Source organism: Homo sapiens, chromosome 2 (assembly GCF_000001405.40).
Source record: "Homo sapiens chromosome 2, GRCh38.p14 Primary Assembly".
Taxonomy (NCBI): Eukaryota; Metazoa; Chordata; class Mammalia; order Primates; family Hominidae; genus Homo; species Homo sapiens.
This window is the reverse complement of record NC_000002.12, coordinates 215,822,286-215,844,081: the sequence shown is the minus strand read 5'-3', so window position 1 is coordinate 215,844,081 and position 21,796 is coordinate 215,822,286. Positions and strand designations below refer to the sequence as shown.

The 21,796-nt window shown below is 40.2% G+C and overlaps 1 long non-coding RNA gene across 1 annotated transcript in view, besides 2 other annotated features; it reads left to right on the top strand.

Annotated features, from left to right (window-relative positions):
- Positions 1 to 545: 545 nt before the first annotated feature.
- Positions 546 to 21,796, top strand: part of LINC00607 (long intergenic non-protein coding RNA 607) — a 231,974-nt gene continuing 210,723 nt past the window's right edge. The window contains exon 1 of the long non-coding RNA NR_037195.1: positions 546 to 756. This is a non-coding gene — a long non-coding RNA (long intergenic non-protein coding RNA 607). The remainder of the gene's footprint in view (positions 757 to 21,796) is intronic.
- Positions 12,423 to 12,472: an enhancer, noted in NCBI's record as "active region_17075". NCBI's record gives its function as "activates an Ori minimal core promoter by ATAC-STARR-seq in GM12878 lymphoblastoid cells {active_cell/tissue: GM12878}" and the evidence as "EXISTENCE:reporter gene assay evidence [ECO:0000049][PMID:35858748]".
- Positions 12,493 to 12,572: an enhancer, noted in NCBI's record as "active region_17074". NCBI's record gives its function as "activates an Ori minimal core promoter by ATAC-STARR-seq in GM12878 lymphoblastoid cells {active_cell/tissue: GM12878}" and the evidence as "EXISTENCE:reporter gene assay evidence [ECO:0000049][PMID:35858748]".

Genomic DNA, 21,796 nt, shown 5'->3' with positions numbered 1-21,796 from the left:
ATCTTAGTATGCAATATGAGGTTTTCTAAAATGTCTATAAGCAAGCCAATATAGTGAACAATAACCTCACTATGTTTCATTTAAGAAATTCATGGGAAAAGACCTATGGAAGGTGAAGGGAGGAATTGTCGGGCTGTCAGGGGAAAGAGTGAAGAACTGTGGAATGAGCTCCCTGCCTGGGGCCAGGAGGAGGGCTGGGTAGTACAAGCTGGGATGGAGTGAGGGGGAGACTCAACAGTAGCCTAATACTGAAGTGGAACTTCATGTTCTGAAAGCAAGTTGGCTGTGTGACTTGGTTTAGTCACTGGCTGCCAGAAGAACCATGATGAGTAATAGAGGTGGAAATATGACACACTGGCAGATGGAGGCCGACAGGAATGCCACCACTCCATTCACTCATGTTCCATCCAGCAAATGAAGTATCACGAGCACACGCCAGAGGAACCAAATTCTCTAGGGTGAGTCAGGTATAGCTTTTTGAAGAGGTGACCTTTAAACTGAGACTAAAGACAAGTAGGATTTTACTAAATGAATAGGATTTTACTGAATCCAGGAATTGGAAGGAAAAGAAAACAGTTCTCTATTCATGCTAGTTAACTAATCAATTCAATATGTATTAACTGAGCACGCTACATGCTAGGCACTCTTCTAAGTGCAGGGGAGACAGCAGTGAAGAAAGCAGACAAAGTCTCTGAACTCCTGTGTCTTCTATTCAAATGGGGAAGATGAACAATGAACAGATAACACAAATAGAAGGTATGTCAAATGAAAATAAGTACAATGTTGAAAAATAAATCAGATTAAGTAAGGAAAGTAGGGAGTGCTTGGGAAAGATAGTGTTATTTTGTGCAAGGTGGTTGGAGAAGTTCTCTCAGAAGGTGATGGTTGAGCAGAGACCCAAAGGAGGTGAGAGAGTGAACCATGAGCCTATCCTAGGGAAGAGTATTCCAGGCAGAGGGAGCAGCTGGAGGAAAGATCCAGAGGTGGGACATGATGGTGTTTGAGAAACACACCCGTGGGAGCAGAGTGAGAGGAGGGAGAGTGGTGGTGGTACAATAAGTACTTTTAATGGGAAAAGAAGTGGGGGCCAGAGGATGCATGGTCCTAGACACGACCTGAATGCCTTTGGCTTTCATTTTGAATGAGATGAGAAGCCAGTGGAAGATTTTGAGCAGGTAGGCTACAGACGTGACCTGTCTTATATTAAAATATAAAGGATTGCTTTGCTTGCCATGTTGAAAATTTACTATAGAGGGGCAGGGATGGAAGCTGGGAGACAGTTTGGAGGCTAGAGCAGTAACCCAGGAAACGAGCATGGTGGCTTGGGTCATGGTGGTGGCAGTGAGTTGGTGAGAGGTGATGAGATCCTGGTTGTATTTTGAAGGCAGAGCCAGCTGGACTTGCTGAAACAAGCTGTAAGAGAAAGAGAAAGGAGTCAAGAGTGGCTCCAAGACTGACTTGAAGAAATGGAAGGAAGACCATTGTCATTTGCTGAAGTGGGAAAGGCTGTGGGAAGAACAGGTTTGAGAGGGAAGATCAAATCAATTTTGAACATGTAATTTCAAGACGCCTGTTAGACACCCAAGTGATTGGTTTCTGGACTGCCTGCCTTCTAGTTGTGGATTTTGGGAAGATGAAAACAGTGCTTCTGATCATCTCTGACTCTAGCACTTAAGAAACTGACATACATTAGGAACTTAACAAATTTTGTTCAGGGCTTGTATGAATGAATAATGGGAGATAAGATTGGAAAGGAAACATAGTGCCAGAACATGAGGGGCCTTTATTGGATGGGGAATGAGGGGCATTGAGGTTTTCCAGTAAGGCAGTAACATGGTCAGTGCTGAGACACAGGAAGACAGGGGAAGACTTACCTGGTAGGTGTCCCATCCTGCCACCAGCCCATTCAGAAACCTGCCACCACCAAAGAGCTGCACTCTCAGAACCTTCCTTTCAGTCCCAAACTTTCTTTTATTTTCTTTTATTTTTTATTTTTTTTGAGACGGAGTTTTGCTCTTGTTGCCCAGGCTGGAGTGCAGTGGTGCTATCCCGGCTCACGGCAACCTCTGCCTCCTGGGTTCAAGCAATTCTCCTGCCTCAGCCTCCTGGGTAGCTGGGATTACAGACATGCACCTCCACACCCAGCTAATTTTGTATTTTTAGTAGAGAAGGGGTTTCTCCATGTTGGTCAGGCTGGTCTCGAACTCCTGACCTCAGGTTATCCGCCCACCTCGGCCTCCCAAAGTGTTGGGATTACAGACGTGAGACACCGTGCCCGGCCTGCTCCTGAATTTTCTATTGTTTTGACTGGCAGAAGCCTGACAACACACTTATAGCTCTATAGCCCTTTGGACTAGGTGTTCAGACCAGGGTTTCCCTGAACTTGAGTCTTGACTTCCTTTAGCAGATAAGTTTATTGCAGCTGTACCCAAGTTGCAGCCCTGTGGAATCCAAGCCTTGTTTCTGGCTGCTTAGCCAGGCCGCTGCTTGACCTGAGGGGCATCCAGATGTGTGGATGTGTGGAGGGACAGGACAGGAAGGAGAAGGGAGGGAGGGAGAGGCCAGCTGCTGAGGTCACAGGGCCACAGACCCTGCCGGGCTGGCAGGAATGTCCAGAAGAGAGTACAGACTTCTTACAGAAGGAAGGAAGGAAAGCAGGTATACTGACATTGATTTGTTCCATTTATTTTGAGTATTACACATGATCATAAACTTTTATCACATGATAAATTTTGCACTGAACATTATTTCAGTTGATTCTTTATGAGCTCTAAACCCTTTACAATTTTTCTTCACGTGGACTTTTCTTCCCAGTAGGATTCTCACAGATAATTTTTCACAATCAGCTCTTTTTCATTTGCTCTGTGTGATGTTATCTTGAATAATGAATAGCCACACAGACTCAAGGAAAGTACATTTTGAAGATAATATTTCATTTTTTCTTTGCTTGTAAAAAAAAAAAAAACAAACAAACCTCACAAAACAAAAAACCCTAAACCTATAACCTTGTTTGGTAGTAAAAATAATTTGAAGACAATAGTTTATGTCACCCAGTAGAGAGATTGCTTTACACTTTTCTTAATACAGTATTCATTCATTTGTCATTTATTTCAATTTTTGTCTTTGTGGTTATTTTTACCCTTCCTCTTTTCAGTTTCACCTCAACTCTTGGCAGCTTGGTCAATCAGCAAAAAAGTCTGCAGGTGGGATCGGTGGGCAGTAGGTCTTAAGAAATCCACACAGGGTTGATAATGCTTTAGAAATAATCTAGAGCTGGCCGGGCACAGTGGCTCACACCTGTGATCCCAGCACTTTGGGAGGCCGAGGCAGGTGGATCACCTGAGGTCAGGAGTTCGAGACCAGCCTGACCAACGTTGTGAAACCCTGTCTCTACTAAAAATATGAAAATTAGCTGGGTATGGTGGCAGGTGCCTGTAATCCCAGCTACTCAGGAGGCTGAGGTAGGAGAATTGCTTGAACCTGGGAGGCGGTGGTTGCAGTGAGCTGAGACCACACCACTGCACTCTAGCCTGGATGACAGAGTGAGACTCCATTTTTTTTTTTAAAGAAATAATCTAGAGCAGAGCCATGCTCTGCTGTGCACAGTGGTCTCCATGAGGGACCCTCAGAGTTCCTGATTCAGTCTGGGTCTCGAGGTCTGGACATCTGCATTTTAAGACCCTCTGATGTAATTATTCCGTATACCTGTGTCTGAGAACTACAAAGCTCAGATTTTATTTTAATTTATTTTTTTGTATCAGACCTTGCTTGGTTTCCAACTATTTCATTTTTTCTCTCTCCACAGCTGATGTTATTATTTTATTGCCTTCATCTGGCCTAGCACTTTTAACTGTAGTTTTAACCCTCTGTGTGTGTGTGGGGGGTATGTGAATGTGTGTGTGTGTCTAGGATTAATCCTGGCCTAAAAGTAGAGATTTGGGTGCAGGCGATATTAAATATATTGAACAATGGGTAGGTGGTGGCAGCCTAGGGTAGAGGTTGCAGTTGCAACACAGAACCACGTGGGGCAACTCCAGGGAAAGGCTGATGGGCAGCCACAACTTGGGGTGGTGATGGCGGACAGAGAGCTGGTCAGCATTTGCCCACAGGGAGGCCAGTGCACCCTGTGTACTGAGTTGAAGTACTGGGAAGGGACTGTTGGCTATTAGACAGTGGCTGTCGGGGGAGTGGCCTAGGTGTTTGTAGGTGGTTGAAACAGAGCAAGGGGAAGGGGCCACCTGTTGAGGGTGGAGGAGAGGGAAGGGGGAGCTACAAGAAGTAGCTCATTGCCAGCCAGGACGGTACTGTTTCAATACACTAACCAGAATATTCCAGCTGAATCTCACTCCAGAATTTAAAGAACTTCATCCCAGCACCCTGGGGCTCAGAATACATCTCTCTCGTTACTACCATTCTGTCCCCAACCTTCTGTCTCAGTTCTGAAGCCTTAATTTTTGTACTTCAGTTCTTGCTTGATAATTTTCCCATAGTTTGATTCCCTTAGGACTGAGGCTTGCCTTGTTCTTCCCAGGCCTAATTGTGGATGCTGGATCCAGCCACCCAGCTCCTGAACTACACATAGCAGCTGGAGCTCAACTGCTGGCAGGTCTTCCTGAAGCTGACTTCTGCCCAGCTTCCTGCCAGCTCCTCCACCTGTCTTTTTACCCTGGCAGGTCCTGCTCCTCCAACTCTGGCCTCATCCCCTGCAGATAATGAGGATTTGCCCAGACAGATTCAGGCTTCTAAAACAGGAAGAAAATAGAGTGAAAAGAGAAAAAGTGCATTCCCTCTATTCCCTTAGAAAAATCTGAGTTAAATTTTTTAAATCTCAAAACAGAATGCAGTCTTGAGGCCAATAGTCCAGAGAAGGTGTGCTAATTCTGTCATCAGTCAGCATATCGTAGAGAGAATAAATATAATTAACAGTGGATTATCCAAATAATCCATTTAGTTTATTCCTCTTATTATTACCAAAGGTAGAAACTCCTGGACTCAATATAGAAAATTAACCAAAGGAGGATGTGCAGTCATCCTTTGGTATCTGCAGGGAATTGGTTTCAAGACCTCCCTTGGATATTGAAATCTGAAGATGCTCAAGTCCCTGATATAAAATAGTGTTGTATTTGCATATAACCTATGCAAAACACATCCTCCTGTACACTTTACATCATCTGTAGATTACTTATAATACCTACTACAATGTAAATGCTATGTAAGTAGTTGTTATACTATATTGTTTAGGGAATAACGACAAGAAAAAGGCTTGTACCTGTTCAGTACAGACATAAATTTTTTTCAAATGTTTTGGATTTGTAGTTGGTTGAACCTATGGATTCAGAACCCACAGATATGGAAGGCTGATCATAGTTAACAGGTGATGATCATAGTTCATTGGAACACTTTAGATAAAAGAGTAAACTTGCTTCCAAACAAGAATGTGAGATGTAGATCGCACACACACACACACACACACACACACACACACACACATATACACGGTTGAAATACAAGTGCAAGCATTCAAACTGGCCCCTATGTGGCATTAAAAGTAAGACTGCTTGTGTAGAGTATTACTGTTAATGTTAAGATGGGTCCCCTCCCATCTCTTCACCTAGATAACATGGGACAGCTTGTTCATACAGGAGACAGCCCCAGGAGTAAACTTCTTTTAGGACCTCATCTAGAAACTGCTCTTATTTTTCCATTTAAACCATGTAATCTGAACCTCTTGCCTCCTCACACATCCTGTTCCAGCCATAGAGATTTTCCTTTGGTCTTTTCTTTCCCCAGGACTTTTGCACATGCTTCTCTCCATCTCAGAATAATTTCCCCTCTACTATTTCTGGGCTGGCTTCCCTTCAGAGAGACACTTCTTGGTCACTCTTACTAAAGGAGTTTGCTCCTTATTTTTCTCTATTTCAATTATCTTTGTGTTCCTTTCAAAGCACTTATCAAAATTTACAGCTGTTTTGTTTGCTTATTTGTATTTTGTCTAAACTCCCAAAGTTCTATGCATCATGAGAACAAGGACCACATGTGTCTTGTTCCTCCTTGCATCTTCAACATTAAGCACAACTGGTGACACATTTTAGATACTCAGTAATTATTTGTGGAACAAATGAATGAAAATTGCTGCAAATGTCTGTCTTATATATTAATTTATATCAACATATATTTATAGACAACCTACAAAACTGACCCCTTCCACCTCTGTGCCATTCCCTGTATATTCTCCCTTCGGGATTCGTTGACATGTTGTTTTTTTTTTTTTTGAGATGGGGTCTCACTCTGTCACCCAGGCTGGAGTGCAATGGCGCGATCTCGGCTCACTGCAACTTCTGCCTCCTGGGCTCAAGCCATTCTCCTGCCTGGGCCTCCCCAGTAGCTGGGATTGCAGGCATGCGCCACCACGCCCGGCTAATTTATGCATTTTTAGTAGAGACGGGGTTGACATGTTGTCTTATTGAGTTGTTTTTGCATTTGCATGTTTTCTTCTCGTATCAGAATTTAAGAATTTAAGCCCCTTGAAGTGAAAAACTTAATTATGATGTCTTTGTCCCCCTTTTACTCAGTACACTGACTGGCATGTGATAGTACAATATTATTTTGAATTAAGAGATTGTATGGGAGGCAGACACGAAGAATTGTAATTCGTGGTCTGTGCATGAGAGGAGTTTGTTTACCAGCTAGATGAGGGGACAAGGTAAAAAGACATTAGAAGTAAAATGACATCCAAAATGTAAAAAGCCTCCAGAGACCAATATAATCATGTTCCTAGACTGTTCTTGACTAATTACAAATATTAAGTTACTTGGCATTTCAGGAAAGTAGCGACCCTTTCAAACTGGGTAATTGGGAAGAATTTCCATGGAGAAGCCAGGATCGAAGTTTATTCTTAGGGAATGAGTAGGATTTGGATAATGTCAATAGAATCCACCTTTGACTGTTTGCCACTAATGAGCTCTGTTTCTGTAATGTATTGATTTCTTTCCAAAATGGAAACCATCTAAAAGTCTATAGATTTCTTAAACCGATAGGTAGCATTTTAATTGGTAGCATTATCAAATTAAGGTGGAAAATGAAAAAAAGAAGAAAGTAATTTAGTAAGTGAATGCTTGAAATAACTTTGTGATTTATTGCCCTCTGCATATAAAGGAGTTAATGCATGGAATTTTACAAGATTAAAAAGACTTGACTACCGTCTTTCAATCTCATGGGAATGAAGAAAGGCATTGCTTAGGGTTTTGATTGTTCCACCTTTTCAAACCTACTTCTGAAAAGTTCAAATTTTAAGTCCATTTGGGCTGTGAGGATAGAGTTATCTCTAAGAACTAAATCCTTGGGATACATAGAGGTCTCATTTCTTAGGGTGCAACGACAAATGACTATCTGTGTTTACACGAGTGAGAACATACACACTGGGAAATTCTGCCTCTGCAGATTGAGAGGATTGAGTGAAACAATTTCTCTGCCAGATCCCTGCCAGATTTAGTTCACTGAAGTTGTTCAACAAATTGAAAAAGAAAATAACATTACAATCTCAACTCTTCAATTCAGAAATTATATCTGAAATTAGCCTATCTTCAAAGAAAAAAAAAGGATAGCTTCCTAAGGCAAGGATCTGTTTTTCTTCAAGATTAATATATGTTTGCAGGATGTACCATGAGGGAATACTCGGGATCAAAAAGTTCTCTGGAGCTGATTTAGGGGAGCGATGTGATGTCACTTGGCTTGGGTTAGGGGTAAACAAAACCAAGGTGGGTGGGCTATGCAGTAGAGGGTAGAGAGTTCTGCCATCTGATGCCCTTGTTTCGAAGTTATCTAGAGGCTCTCTGGCCTTCTCTGTGCAGAGCCCATAATTTTCGTCTAATATACTTCCCTAGGCATTATTTAATGGTCAAATGGTGCTCAAGCCAGGGCTCATTTATCAGTTGCTAAGTCACTGCAAATTGCAAAGGGAAAAGAAAACACAGCTCAGTGGAAAGACTTAAGGAACAGGTAAGGGGCCTATTTGCTGAGCCCAGATGAATAACTTGCTGAATTAAAAACATGTATTCATGAGGAGCATGTCAGAAATGTGCCACATCAAGACCCCAATTTGTACCATGCCATGTTTTGATTTAGGGAGCAACTAATTTGACATGTCTATGGAAAGAAAGACTGTTGATTCTTTCACTCATGAAACCTACATGAACTTCCAGAACTCTCAAATCCCCAGATAAACAAAGAAGTGTCTTGTATTATTTTCTCAGTTGGAGTCTGTTTAGAATAAAACTGAGCTATTTTCCCAGTGGCTAAAAAACAGTCACTGAACATTATTCAAACAAGGAAGAACACGTAGTCTCCTCAACATAAATCTATTAACATCTATATTTTCTTAAGAACTTAGTTTATATTTAGACCTATTTATCATTGAAAAAAATCTTTAGGTAAATAAGACCAGTGAAGATTACCTGCCCATTAAGCATGTCCTTATAGTGTTTTGAAATAATTCATATAAAGGAGTGAGCGTCATACATTAAATTTTAATGACATAAATATATCTGATTTTAAGTAATCATTTCTTGTTGTTCTGGGCAAGTATCCTAGTTCCTGTTTCCTTTGGTCCTCTAAAGTTTTTTTTTAATGTTGAAAATTTATTTTAAAAAATATGGTGTATTGTTTTGTCTCAGCATGTCTATGCCCAGTTAAATAGGTTTTCATCAAAGGATGTTGGGAGCTGTTGTCTGAAGTGATGTCAAATTAAGTTCAAAAACATCAGCTTCAATACTGTAGCTGGGTTTTTTTTGTAGGCAAAAAAGACACTAAATGTATTAATTTCTTTCTCTTTAATCTATTTTGATATATGTGTAGATAGAGACTGGTTTTAGTTCAGAAAAAATAAAGTAACTATTTAGGTTAGGTAGTGTGGTCCTATGCTTTGCCTGATTTTAAAGGATGTTGAGTCTTCTCAGTTAAACATCTTGATCACTGAATTTATATCGAATGTATGAAAAACCAAGGGCTGGGCCATGCACAGTGGCTCATGCCTATAATCCCAGCACTTTGGGAGGCTGAGGCGGGCATATCACCTGAGGTCAGGAGTTTGAGACCAGCCTGGCCAACATGGTGAAACCCCATCTCTACTAAAAATACGAAAATTAGCTAGGTGTGTACTTGGGAGGCTGAGGCAGGAGAATCACTTGAACCTGGGAGGCGGAGGTTGCAGTGAGCCAAGATTGCACCACTGCACTCCAGCCTGGGCAACACTGTGAGACTCAATCTAAAAAAAAAAACAAAAACAAAAACAAACAAACAAAAATTAGCTGGATATGATGGCATATACCTGTAATCCCAGGTACTTGGGAGGCTGAGGCACAAGAATCGCTTGAACCTGGGAGATGGAGATTGCAGTGAGTCGAGATTGTGCCACTGCTGGGTGATAGAGTGACTGTCTCAAAAAAAAAAAAAAAAAAAAAAAAAAAGAAAAAGAAAAGAAAGAAAGAAAACCAAGAGCTGATAGCTACCAATGATGATAACGTCCATTTATTAAGTGCTCAGATGCTTTATGTATGTTTCATGAATCCTCACATGTGGCTCTATGAAGGATGATGCTATCGTCTCTTTTTTGTATGAGGGCCCTGAGACTGTGAAAGGCTAAGCAGCTTTCCCGAGGTAGTGAAGCTCAGGTTAGAACCCCATTTTCTTTACCTCTAAGTCACAGCTCTTGTCGTTACTCTATGGTTCTTGAACTTTCACGAACCAGTAAAACTGCAAAAAGCAAAAACAAAACAGAAAAGTAATTTTTTTACATGTCCAAATAAATAAAAAATAAAAGGAACTCTACTCAACATAATTTTATAAAATAAATTTAATTTTATAATATAATAATTTTATTATATTATAAAATGCTAGCATGTAACATTATTTTGCAGTACTTTGTGATTTTGGAAGGCCAGAAGTCCATGAATGTGTTTGATTCCTAACCTGGAGGAAACGCTTGCTTTAAGCATGTGTGTGGCTAGGGTTACATCACATCTTAGAACAAAGAACAGTTCTTCCTGGGAACAGCTGGTAACCTTACACCAACATACTTATATAAACACTGTGTTGACCTTATCTTCCTCGTTTTGTTGAAGACCAGTGAAAATTTTTCCATAGACCAGCGCAGGTCTGAAGACAAACCTTTGGACACCATGTAGAACAAAACTGTTTTCCTCATATGTGTTTTTTAGAGATAGGGAGACAAATGGGTAGGTATAGATTGCAATGTTCAATTTCACTTTCTAGACCTGTAATGTAAAACATGGCTTCTCCCCATGCCTATGCAGACTGCAGTAGTCCCTTGGTGTCTCCCATGAGATATGTTATCAGAAAACACAGCCTTTTCCCTATTCTTTGAGGCAATGGACTGAATTGGGTTTTCCTTTCTGCTTTATTGTTTTCACATGTTTGCCAACTCTCAACTGACCATTTTCTTTCACCGATAAATTTGAGGGAAATTATAGTCCCTGCACATAGAAGGCCAGAAGTGTCCCCTCAAGCCTCTAGAAAACAAAAAGGGACCGTTTCTTTCATCTCTGATCAACTAAAAAATTGAAAACAGGGCTGATTCCATCAATAGGAGCTGGAATGATAACTCCATGGCTAGGAACAACCACTGTTAATGTAAAAGATTAGTTTCCAAAGCTTATGTGAACATGAGGAACAGTTTTCCTCAGTGTCATTGTTAATTTAATGACAATGTTACTTACATAAGTGCAAACATAAAGCTGGGTGTAAAGGCTGATGCTTATAGCTCTTCTAATTATAAAACTGAAATAAATTTACAAACTGAAGAAAAAAACTCTAAAACCAGTAAAACTCAAATTAACAACATAAATTTGGTGTGACAGATGAAGTTTTGAGAAATTTAAACTGCTACTCACAGTGTGAATGTATTACTGGCTGTCATGGTACAGGTTTTGGAATTTGGCATGCTTATGCTGTTGCACAAGGCATTGGAGTGGCCCCAATTTCTCCACCACTTCTCCATTTGAACTATAGAGACCTTGGCACCTGAACCTCCTTCGCTTTCATTTGGCATAAAGTCATCTTTTATTTCACAAATCTACCTTTGTTTTTCTCTCATTTGCTTATGTCAATTAAAATCCTTATGCCTGTAACCCCAGCACTTTGGGAGGCCGAGGCAGGTGGATCAACTGAGGTCAGGAGTTCGAGCTCAGCCTGGCCAACGTGGCGAAACCTCACCTCTCTCTACTAAAAATATAAAAATAAGCTGGATGTGGTGGTACGTGCTTGTAGTCTCAGCTACTTGGAAGGCTGAGGCAGGAGATTCACTTGAAGCTGGGAGGTGGAGGTTGCAGTGAGCTGAGATCGTGCCACTGCACTCCAGCCTGGGTGACAGATCAAGACTTTGTCTAAAAAAAAATAATAATCGTACTTGACAATAAAGTGATCTTGAAGACAAATACAAAATGAAATAAAGTAGTTAAAAAACTCAGTACAAGATTCATTTCCTTTTTCAGTCTTCCGTGCTGCCTGATCCTAGAGAAACTGGAAGGGGCTGTATCTGCTTTATCTTTGTATCTCCAATACCTACAACAATACTCCAGCACATGGAAGACCCTAAACTGTATTTGTTGAATGAATGAACAGATGAATACAAGCCCTGATAGAAGGAAGTAATGGTCTGGTACAGAATGGGGTGCGAACTCATATGGAGGTAAAGAGAGTCAGTAAGCAATGCCGCCACAGCAGCAGAACAGTGGAAGATAATTTGAAAAAAAAAAATGGAGAGATATTTCTTTAGCTACATGTGGAATTTACCGATATGCTACTGAGGAAGGATTGATAGAGAATATCAGTGTCATATCCTGGTGCTAGTACTATATCATTTGCATTTTTTTTGTGTGTAAATGTATGGTAGTGTTATTTAGTAAACTATAGTTAATTCCATAATATAGCCTTTATTGTTATCAACAAATCTTTCTAATGCCCTTAAAAAATGCACCTTCAAAGGTAGGGAAATCAATTGGGTGTACTTAGTGGGGAATTAACTGGGTCTACCCAGCCGATATTGTCAGCATCTTGTTTCCTTAAGTATGTTAGTCAATGCCATGGTTTGAGGGGGGAGGTAGAGGTGATGGTCCTCCACGCATTCCAGGCTGGTGACATTTGATGGTCTTCCAGGCATCCCAGGCATGGCCAGACCCTTGGTTGGGAAACAACACTTTTTAAGAGAAATAATAATGTAGCAAAGAAAATGCCTTGCTGCTGGAGTGTAAGAGATGCGGAACAACTCACAGTATCTACTTTCCAGACTGTCCTCTGGCCCAGGTCCCATGGGCTTGTGCCTGAGTCTTAAGGAGAGGGGTCATTGGGAGCAGGAGGCAGCATTACTTTGTTATCCATGCCAAAGGGGAAGAGGAAATTCTCCCTTACTTAAAGAAGAGCAAAACATTGCATCAGCATCTCAAAATCAGCAGCTTTGGTAGTGCTGTGACTTTCGGTTTCTCTGAAAGTGTTCCTCAAAGAAGCCAGTATTTGAATTGTTTGCTACTCAGCCACGAAGAGATAAGAAGCCTGTGTCAGAATGCATGTGAACACGCTGCTTGCTTCCTAGAAGCCTTGCTTTGAAAAAGAAGGTCTGCCCATCCACATCATTTTGGCTGGTATGTCTCTGGTCTGCAGTTATTATTTTTGGTCTTTGCTCTCATGTAAATGGTAACGTCTGGCCTTGTTAATGTATAACTCTAGTCTCTCAGAGAGTACTGCCAATAAAAATTTTTTAAAGTTAAATTAGTTCAATCATTGTGGAAGACAGTGTGGCAATTTCTCAAAGATTTGGAACTGGAAATACCATTTGACCTAACAATCCCTTTACTGGGTATATACTCAAAGGAATATAAATCATTCTGTTATAAAGATACATGCACGCATATGTTCATTGCAGCACAATTCGCAGTAGCAAAGACTTGGAATCAAACCAAATGCCCATCAATGATAGACTGGATAAAGAAAATATGGTACACATACACCGTGGAATACTAGGCAGCCATAAAAAGGAACAAGATCATGTCTTTTGCTAGAACATGGATGAAGCTGGAAGCTATTATCCTCAGCAAACTAACGAGCAATAGAAAACCAAACACTGCATGTTCTCACTCATAAGTGGGAGCTGAATAATGAGAACACATGGACACAGGGAGGGGAACAACACATACTGGGACCTATTAGGGGAAGTCATGCAGGGAAAGCATCAGGAAAAAGAGCTAATGCTTGCTGGGCTTAATACCTAGGTGATGGGTTGATAGGTGCAGGAAGCCATCATGGCACATGTTTACTTATGTAACAAGCCTGCACATGCACCCTGGAACTTAAAAAATAATAAAGAATAAATGAAAAAAATTTTTTTTAAGTCACTCAGAGATGTAATGAAATATTCAGTCCTATTTTACTTCCCAATAAAGAGCTTGGAGAAGCTTACGGACTGTGCAGTAGGTGTCCTCACATGCCCTGATAAGCAGGGAAGAATGGCTGGTCGTTGCCCATGGTACATATGACCTCATTGTCCCAATTGCCCTATGAGTGGCTGGACTGCTTAGTCATGAAGGTGTGGTCCAAGCAGTGATCTGGAGGCAGGGAAATTAAAATGCAACAGTCCAGCTGGGACCCTTCTGCCGTTACACAGTGAAGCTACTGGGAAGCTGTGTCTTTGCGAGGTGGGGGAGTCTGAAGCTTCATTTCATGTCCCTGCTATGGTGTGAGGCCTCTCTCTCTTTCCAAAGCTAATTATTTGGAGCCATTGTGAACTCCCACTTTCAGGCGATTTGAGTTCCAACAGTTTATTTCACTGTCAGTTGTTCTGAACTTAAAAATAATTTTTCTACCAAAAATAATAAAAGGAACGAAGGGTCAGCTCATAGAAATCAACTTAAATTCAAACCTAGATGAACTAATGTACATTTGCAATGAAAAGAAGCAGAGAAATCAAATGTTATAGTTTAGGTATGCAGACTGTGTTTGCAAATCCATTAATTATAACTGAACATAACCAAATTAATAAAAATAATTTCTTTTTTCTACAATATGGCTTTGACGATGGCATTTTTAATTAGAGGAGGAGAGGAGAATGTTGGAGACTTGTGGAGATTATCCAGGGGGAAATTCTCAGCACATTTGAAGCCTTTAGAAGTTAAGGAATAATTTTACTTAAAACTTTAGTTTGACACCCATGTTTTACTAGCATTGATCAGCCACCCCAAGGTTCATTTTTAATCACAAAGAAAGAATACGGAGCCTTGAGAGCGTGAAGGATCACGCCTGTAGTCCCAGCGACTCTAGAGGCTGAGGCTGGAGGATCACTTGAACCCCAGAGTTCACGGTTACTGTGAGCTGTGATTGCACGACTGCACTCCAGCCTGGGCATCCTAGAGACACCTGTCTCTATAAAAACAACAAGAAAGAAAGAATGTGGGGAAAAAGAGGATGGGTATCTTGGGTCAGTTTCCTGGAATTCAGACTCTGAGATAGTGTAGTTGACTGGGGAGCCGCTCTGAATCAACCCCTGTGGAGTAACAGAAGCAGAACTGGAGAAGAGGAGATGCAGGTACCGCAAATGACTTGGCTGATGGCAGGGCAGCCCTGAAGCAGGCACAGTCCTTCAGTTGTCTATCTCCTCATTGATCAGTGAGTGGATAGGGGCCACTTCAGGAAAGGTGTGACTTGGAGCATGCAACTCCCCCGCTGAGAGCAAATCCCACGGACGATGTCTCCTGAGTACCACGGTCGCTGATACGGTTTGGCTGTGTCTCCACCCAAATCTCACCTTGAATTTTAGTTTCTGTAATTCTCATGTGTGGTTGGGGGGACCTGGTGGGAGATAATGGAATCATGGGGGCAGTTTCCTCCCTACTGTTCTCGTGGTAATGAATAACTCTCACGAGATCCTATGGTTTTATAAGGGGAAACCCCTTTCGCTTGGCTCTCTGATTCTACCCTGTCTGCTGCCATGTAAGATGTGCCTTTTACCTTCTGCCATGATCGTGAGGCTTCCCCAGCCACGTGGAACTGCGAGTCCATTAAGCCTCTTTTTCTTTATAAATTACCCACTCTTGGGTATGTCTTTATCAGCAGCATGAAAATGGACTAATACAGCCACTAACACCACAGCCATTGGTGGAATTGGTTTCGGTCCTGAAATCGCAGTATCCACTCTAGCGCCATATTTTTTTTCTCTCAGGTAACTGGGCAAGGATGGGAGAAAAGAGGAAAAACTGTGTTTATGGAGGTGTGTAAAGATAGGGGGAAAAAAGACAAGCTGTGGAGGAATTAACCAAATTGAGCTTTGGAAGACAGAGGGCAGCAGGGAGCAGCTCTTGCAACACCTTTCTGAGGGGAAGAGGAGGTGAGAGGGAAGGCCCGGCTCAGGCTACAGGCTGCTCTTGCCAGAACAGTTGAGCTGCTGGTGAGGATATGCTGCCCTAGGGGAAGGAGGGACAGTAGACTGACCTGATATTCAAGGCAGGGAACAGTTGATGACATTTTATATTCTACCTTAGGGGGTCCTGCACAGAGAAGCAGGTGAGGGCTGCTATGGTAATTCCCAACGTGTTTTATTTATTTTATTTTATTTTTAATATGGCAATACAGATCAGTTTTGTTTTGTTTTGTTTTGTTTTTTTAACATTTTGCATCTTTCTACAAAGTGTTATACGGGCAATTTTTCTTTTCTTTTCTTTCTTTCTTTTTTTTTTTTTTTTTTTTGAGACAGAGTCTTAGTCTGTCGCCCAGGCTGGAATGCAGTGGCTTGATCTTGGTTCACCAGGTTCAAGCGATTCTTCTGCCTCTGCCTCCCAAGTAGCTGGATTACAGGTGTGCACCGCCATGCCTGGCTAATTTTTGAAATTTTTTTAGTAGAGATGGGGTTTCACCACGTTGGCCAGGCTGGTCTCAAACTCCTGACCTCAGGTGATCCGCCTGCCTTGACCTCCCAAAGAGCTGAGATTACAGGTGTGAGCCACTGCGCCTGGCCTAGGCAATTATTTTTGATGCCAAAGTAGAATTAATTGTTTTCATTAATTTTTAAATTAAGGCCAGGTTTGATGGCTCACACTTGTAAATCCCAGCACTTTGGGAGGTTGAGGCCAGAGGATCACTTGAGGCCAAGAGTTCAAGACTAGGCAACATGGTGAAACCCCCTCTCTACAAAAAATAATAAAAAAAATTAGCTGATCATAGTGGCATGCACCTGTAGTCCTAGCAACTCAGGAGGCTGAAGCAGGAGGATCTCTTGAATCCAGAAATATGGGGTTACAGTGAGCTATGATGGTGCCACTGCACTTTAGTTTGAGGAATGGAGCAAGATCCTTTCTCTAATAATAATTAATAGTAATAATAAGTTTTAAAATTAACTGTGCTTTAAGGATTTTTGTGATACCTTCCTAGACATCCTGTTTATTGTTGCAGAACTGATTGGATTCTCTTTCATAGAGCTCTGACCATAGAGGATACAAAGCAAATAAATAGAACAATCCTTGCTTTCAAAGGAGATTTTGATACAATTTTGAAAAAAAAAAAAAGAATGCAAAGTATGCTGCTCTTCCTAATGCCAAGGAGTATTTTACTTTTTAGCAAAAACCTTCTCTTAAATGTGGAGAACACTCAGGGGGAGGTGGAAGAGAGAAAGCAGTGAACAGATTCATCTTCCCTTCTATATCTGAAAGGATAAGCAGGCTGTGCTTTCCAGAGTGAGTTAGCATGCTATTTTATACAAATTCTGGGAAATGTCGGGCGTTTAAGTGTTGCTTTCTTGTTTGTTTAGTTTTCACGGTACTCCGGAATGTGTGTATCTCAGACATTTGAAAGGCATTCTGTAACCTATATTCCAGATATTATCCCTTAGTCATCTTTTGGGCTAGTCTGTCTGTAATTGATGAGTGTGCTTTTGAAATCCAGGGTTATCTTTGTTTAGGAAATAATTAATTGCTTGACATTGATGACCCTATTTTGTAGTTCTTTGTTCTATTTTGTAAATTTAAAAATGCTTCTTTTATCTTTGTATCGTTAACTTTGCCTTTATTACCTGACGAATAGCATATTTGCTGCTTAGGCAATGACCTCTGCAAATCAGTGTTTGGTGGGAAGGGCAAAGAGAACATGTAACTGTAACCTGAGGAGGAGTTTTTCTTTATCTCTTGTTCCGCTCTTATAGACTCCAGCGAACCACTAGAAGGAGCCTGTATCAGCCACTTTCCAATTCTTTGCAGTGATTATGTTTGAAGCAGATATTTATGTTTTCATTCCTGTTGATATCAGTGGGAATACTCTTGATAAACATAAGATGTGGGAAATATTTATTTCTGGGTCCTCTATTCTTCTTTCAGAAACCTTTCTCTCTCTTTTTTTTTTTTTGTCCACTCCTTCAAACTCCAGGCTTGCCACTTCTTAGTGGCATGACTGTCTCCTTTGCCCTTCCCACCTAGACCACGCCATAGCTTGTGGGTCAACCTCCTCACTTGGCTTTCCTGGTACCTCTGCTGTATAAACTTGCTGTTTTGGTTTCACTGCCTCAGGGCCTTGTTAGAAGATTTGCCAGTTCTTCTGATAAACCAGTCCATGCAATGCTGTTAATAGTTGATCAAAATCAACCCCAAATATGCCTCCCCTAAGAACCCGTTCCCATTCTAATCTGACGGGGGTCTTTAACACATTTAATTCCAAGTTTTCCAGTCTGGCCTGTGCTTAGAGAAAAATTCACAGGATAAGCACAACACATTTTTCTGGAGCTTCTCATTTACTTTAAGAACCTTAAAGGAAAAACTCACATTATTTTCATATTAAAAGAAATAAAGATACAGATTACACTAGACATCAGAATTTCTCATATCTTAAAAATAAAACATGAGAAAATAAGAAATTTTTACTTTTGGTGAATTATTCTGGGTTTGGTCTCTAGGTACCCTGCAAGGCTTGCATAAAAATCTTAAGAAGCCAAACCTCTTTGGTTTAAGCAAAAAATAGTTTTCAATGCTCAGAATTATAGACATTTGAGGAGGCTAATTTTTTTTTTTCTTTTCAGCACTTCTCTGATCATTTGCCCAGATGGGATGTATTTGCTGGGCCAATAATGTGGGCAGGAACACATTTTTCAGGCCTGAATATTTTTTTGAATCTCTTTACAAAGTCTTGTTTGGGTCTATTTGTGTTTTAGATCAAGTCTTGGTTGGTGAGTTAGAGATCTAAGTGATGACATTTAGCAAAAACATGGCATGGAGCTGCTTTTTAGTTTGCATTTTGGGCTAAGATAAGACACTTTATGTGCTTCCTTATAAAGGATATTTAAAATTTTTGAAATATTTACTTACAGTAGTCAAGTCAATGTCAAACAAGAGAATGAATCTTCAGGGAACTTTGAAGATAGGTTTAAACTTTTAAACATATGCATTTGTTTTATTGTATCGTAAATTATATAAAGAAGAATTACAATGAGGAATTGAAAAATTAATGGGATTTTTTTTTGTCAGAGGAATCCCTATGGGGAAATTATTGTAGAATCCGACAATAGTGCAAATTATTCATACTTTGTTGCTTTTTTAAAAAATTTTATCTTATTTTAGGCTTTTTTTATTTTTATTTTTTTTAATACTTCAAGTTTTGGAATACATGTGCAGAAAGTGCAGGTTTGTTACATAGGTATACATGTGCCATGGTGGTTTGCCACATCCATCAACCCATCATCTACATTAGGTATTTCTTCTAATGCTATCCCTCCCCTATCCCCCTACTCCCTGACAGGCCCGGGTGTGTGATGTTCCCCTCCCTGTGTCCCTGTGTTCTCATTGTTCAACAACCACTTATGAGCGAGAATATGCGGTGTTTGGTTTTCTGTTCCTGTGTTAGTTTGCTGAGAATTATGGTTTCCAGTTTCATCCATGTCCCTGAAAAGGACAGGAACTCATCCTTTTTTATGGCTACATAGTATTCCATGGTGTATATGTGCCACATTTTCTTTATCCAGTTCATCATTGATGAACATTTGGGTTGGTTCCAAGTCTTTGCTATTGTGAACAGTGCTGCAATAAACATGTGTGTGCATGTGTCTTTATAGTAGAATGATTTATAATCCTTTGGGTATATACCCAGTAATGGGATCGCTGGGTCAAATGGTATTTCTGGTTCTAGATCCTTAAGGAATTGCCACACTGTCTTCCACAATGGTTGAACTAATTTACACTCCCACCAACAATGTAAAAGCATTCCTATTTCTCCATATCCTCTCCAACACCTGTTGTTTCCTGACTTTTTAATGATCATCATTCTAACTGGCATGAGATGGTATCTCACTGTGGTTTTGATTTGCATTTCTCTAATGACCAGTGATAATGAGCTTTTTTTAAAATGTTTGTTGGCCATATAAATATCTTCTTTTGAGAAATATCTGTTCATATCCATCACCCACTTTTTGATGGGGTTGTTTTCTTTCTCGTAAATTTATTTACATTTCTTGTAAATCCTGGATATTAGCCCTTTGTCAGATGGAAGATTGCAAAAATTTTCTCCCATTCTGTAGGTTGCCTGTTTGCTCTGATGATAGTTTCTTTTGCTGTGCAGAAGCTCTTTAGTTTAACTAGATCCCATTTGTCAATTTTGGCTTCTGTTGCCATTGCTTTTGGTGTTTTAGTCATGAAGTCTTTGCCTTGCCTATGTCCTGAATAGCGTTGCCTAGGTTTTCTTCTAGGGTTTTAATGGTTTTAGGTCTTACCTTTAAGTCTTTAATCCATCTTGAGTTAATTTTTGTATAAAGTGTAAGGAAGGGGTCCAGTTTCAGCTTTCTGCATATGTTTAGCCAGTTCTCCCAGAACCATTTATTAAATGGGGAGTCCTTTCCCCATTGCTTGTTTTTGTCAGGTTTGTCAAAGATCAGACAGTTGTAGATTTGTGGCATTATTTCTGAGGCCTCTGTTCTGTTCCATTGGTCTATATATCTGTTTTGGTGCCAGTACCATGCTGTTTTGGTTACTGCAGCCTTATAGTATAGTTTGAAGTCAGGCATCGTGATGCCTCCAGCCTTGTTCTTTTTGCTTAAGATTGTCTTGGCTATATGGGCTCTTTTTTGGTTCCATATGAAATTTAAAGTATGTTTTCTAATTCTGTGAATAAAGGCAATTGTAGCTTGATGGGGATAACATTGAATCTATAAATAACTTTGGGCAGTATCACCATTTTCACCATATTGATTCTTCCTATCCATGAGCATGAAATGTTTTTCCATTTGTTTGTGTCCTCTCTTATTTCCTTGAGCAGTGGTTTGTGGTTCAACTTGAAGAGGTCCTTCACATCACTTGTAAGTTGTATTCCTAGGTATTAAATTCTCTTTGTAGTGAATGGGAGTTCACTCCTGATTTGGCTTTATGTTTGTCTATTATTGGTGTATAGGAAGGCTTGTGATTTTTGCACATTGATTTTGTATCCTGAGACTATGCTGAAGTTGTTTATTAGCTTAAGGAGATTTTGGGCTGTGACAATGGGGTTTTCTAAATATACAATCATGTCATCTGCAAACAGAGACAATTTGACTTCTCTTCCTATTTGAATCCCCTTTATTTCTTTCTCTTGCCTGATTTCCCTGGCCAGAACTTCCAACACTATGTTGAATAGGAGTGATGAGAGAGGACATCCTTGCCTTATGCTGGTTTTCAAAGGGAATGCTTCCAGTTTTTGCCCATTCAGTGTGATATTGGCTGTGGGTTTGTCATTAATAGACCTTATTATTTTGAGATACGTTTCACCAGTACCCAGTTTATTGACAGTTTTTAGCATGAAGGGCTGTTGAATTTTGTTGAAGGCCTTTTCTGCATCTATTGAGATAACCATGTGGTTTTTGTTATTGGTTCTGTTTATGTGATGGATTACGTTTATTTATTTGTGTATGTTGAACCAGCCTTGCATCCCAGGGATGAAGCTGACTTGATTGTGGTGGATAAGCTTTTTGATGTGCTGCTGGATTCGGTTTGTCAGTATTTTATTGAGAATTTTTGCACCGATGATCATCAGGGATATTGGCCAGAAATTTTATTTTTTTGTTGTGTGTCTGTCAGATTTTGGTATCAAGATGATGCTGGCTTCACAAAATGAGTTAGGGAGGATTCCCTCTTTTTCTGTTGTTTGGAATAGTTTCAGAAGGAATGGTACCAGCTCCTCATTGTACCTCTGGGAGAATTCGGCTGTGAATCCATCTGGTCTTGGGCTTTTTTTTTGGTTGGTAGGCTATTAAGTACTGCCTCAATTTCAGAACTTGTTATTGGTCTATTCAGGGATTCAGCTTCTTCCTGGTTTAGTCTTGGGAGGGTGTATGTGTCCAGGAATTTATCTATTTCTTCTAGATTTTCTAGTTTATTTGCGTAGAGGTGTTTATAGTATTCTCTGATGGTACTTTCTGCAGGATCAGTGTTGATCTCCCCTTTATCATTTTTTATTGTGTCTATTTGATTCTTCTCTCTTTTATTCTTTATTAGTTTGGCTAGCAATCTATTTTGTTAATCTTTTCAAAAAACTAGCTCCTGGATCCATTTGTTTTTTAGAAGGGTTTTTTGTGTCTCTATCTCCTTCAGTTCTGCTCTGATCTTACTTATTTCTTGTCTTCTGCTAGCTTTTGAATTTGTTTGCTCTAGCTTGTCTAGTTCTTTTAATTGTTATGTTAGGGTGTTAATTTTCAATCTTTCCTGCTTTCTCTTGTGTGAATTTAGTCCTAAAATTTCCTTCTAAACCCTGCTTTAGCTGTGTCCCAGAGATTCTGCTACATTGTGTCTTTGTT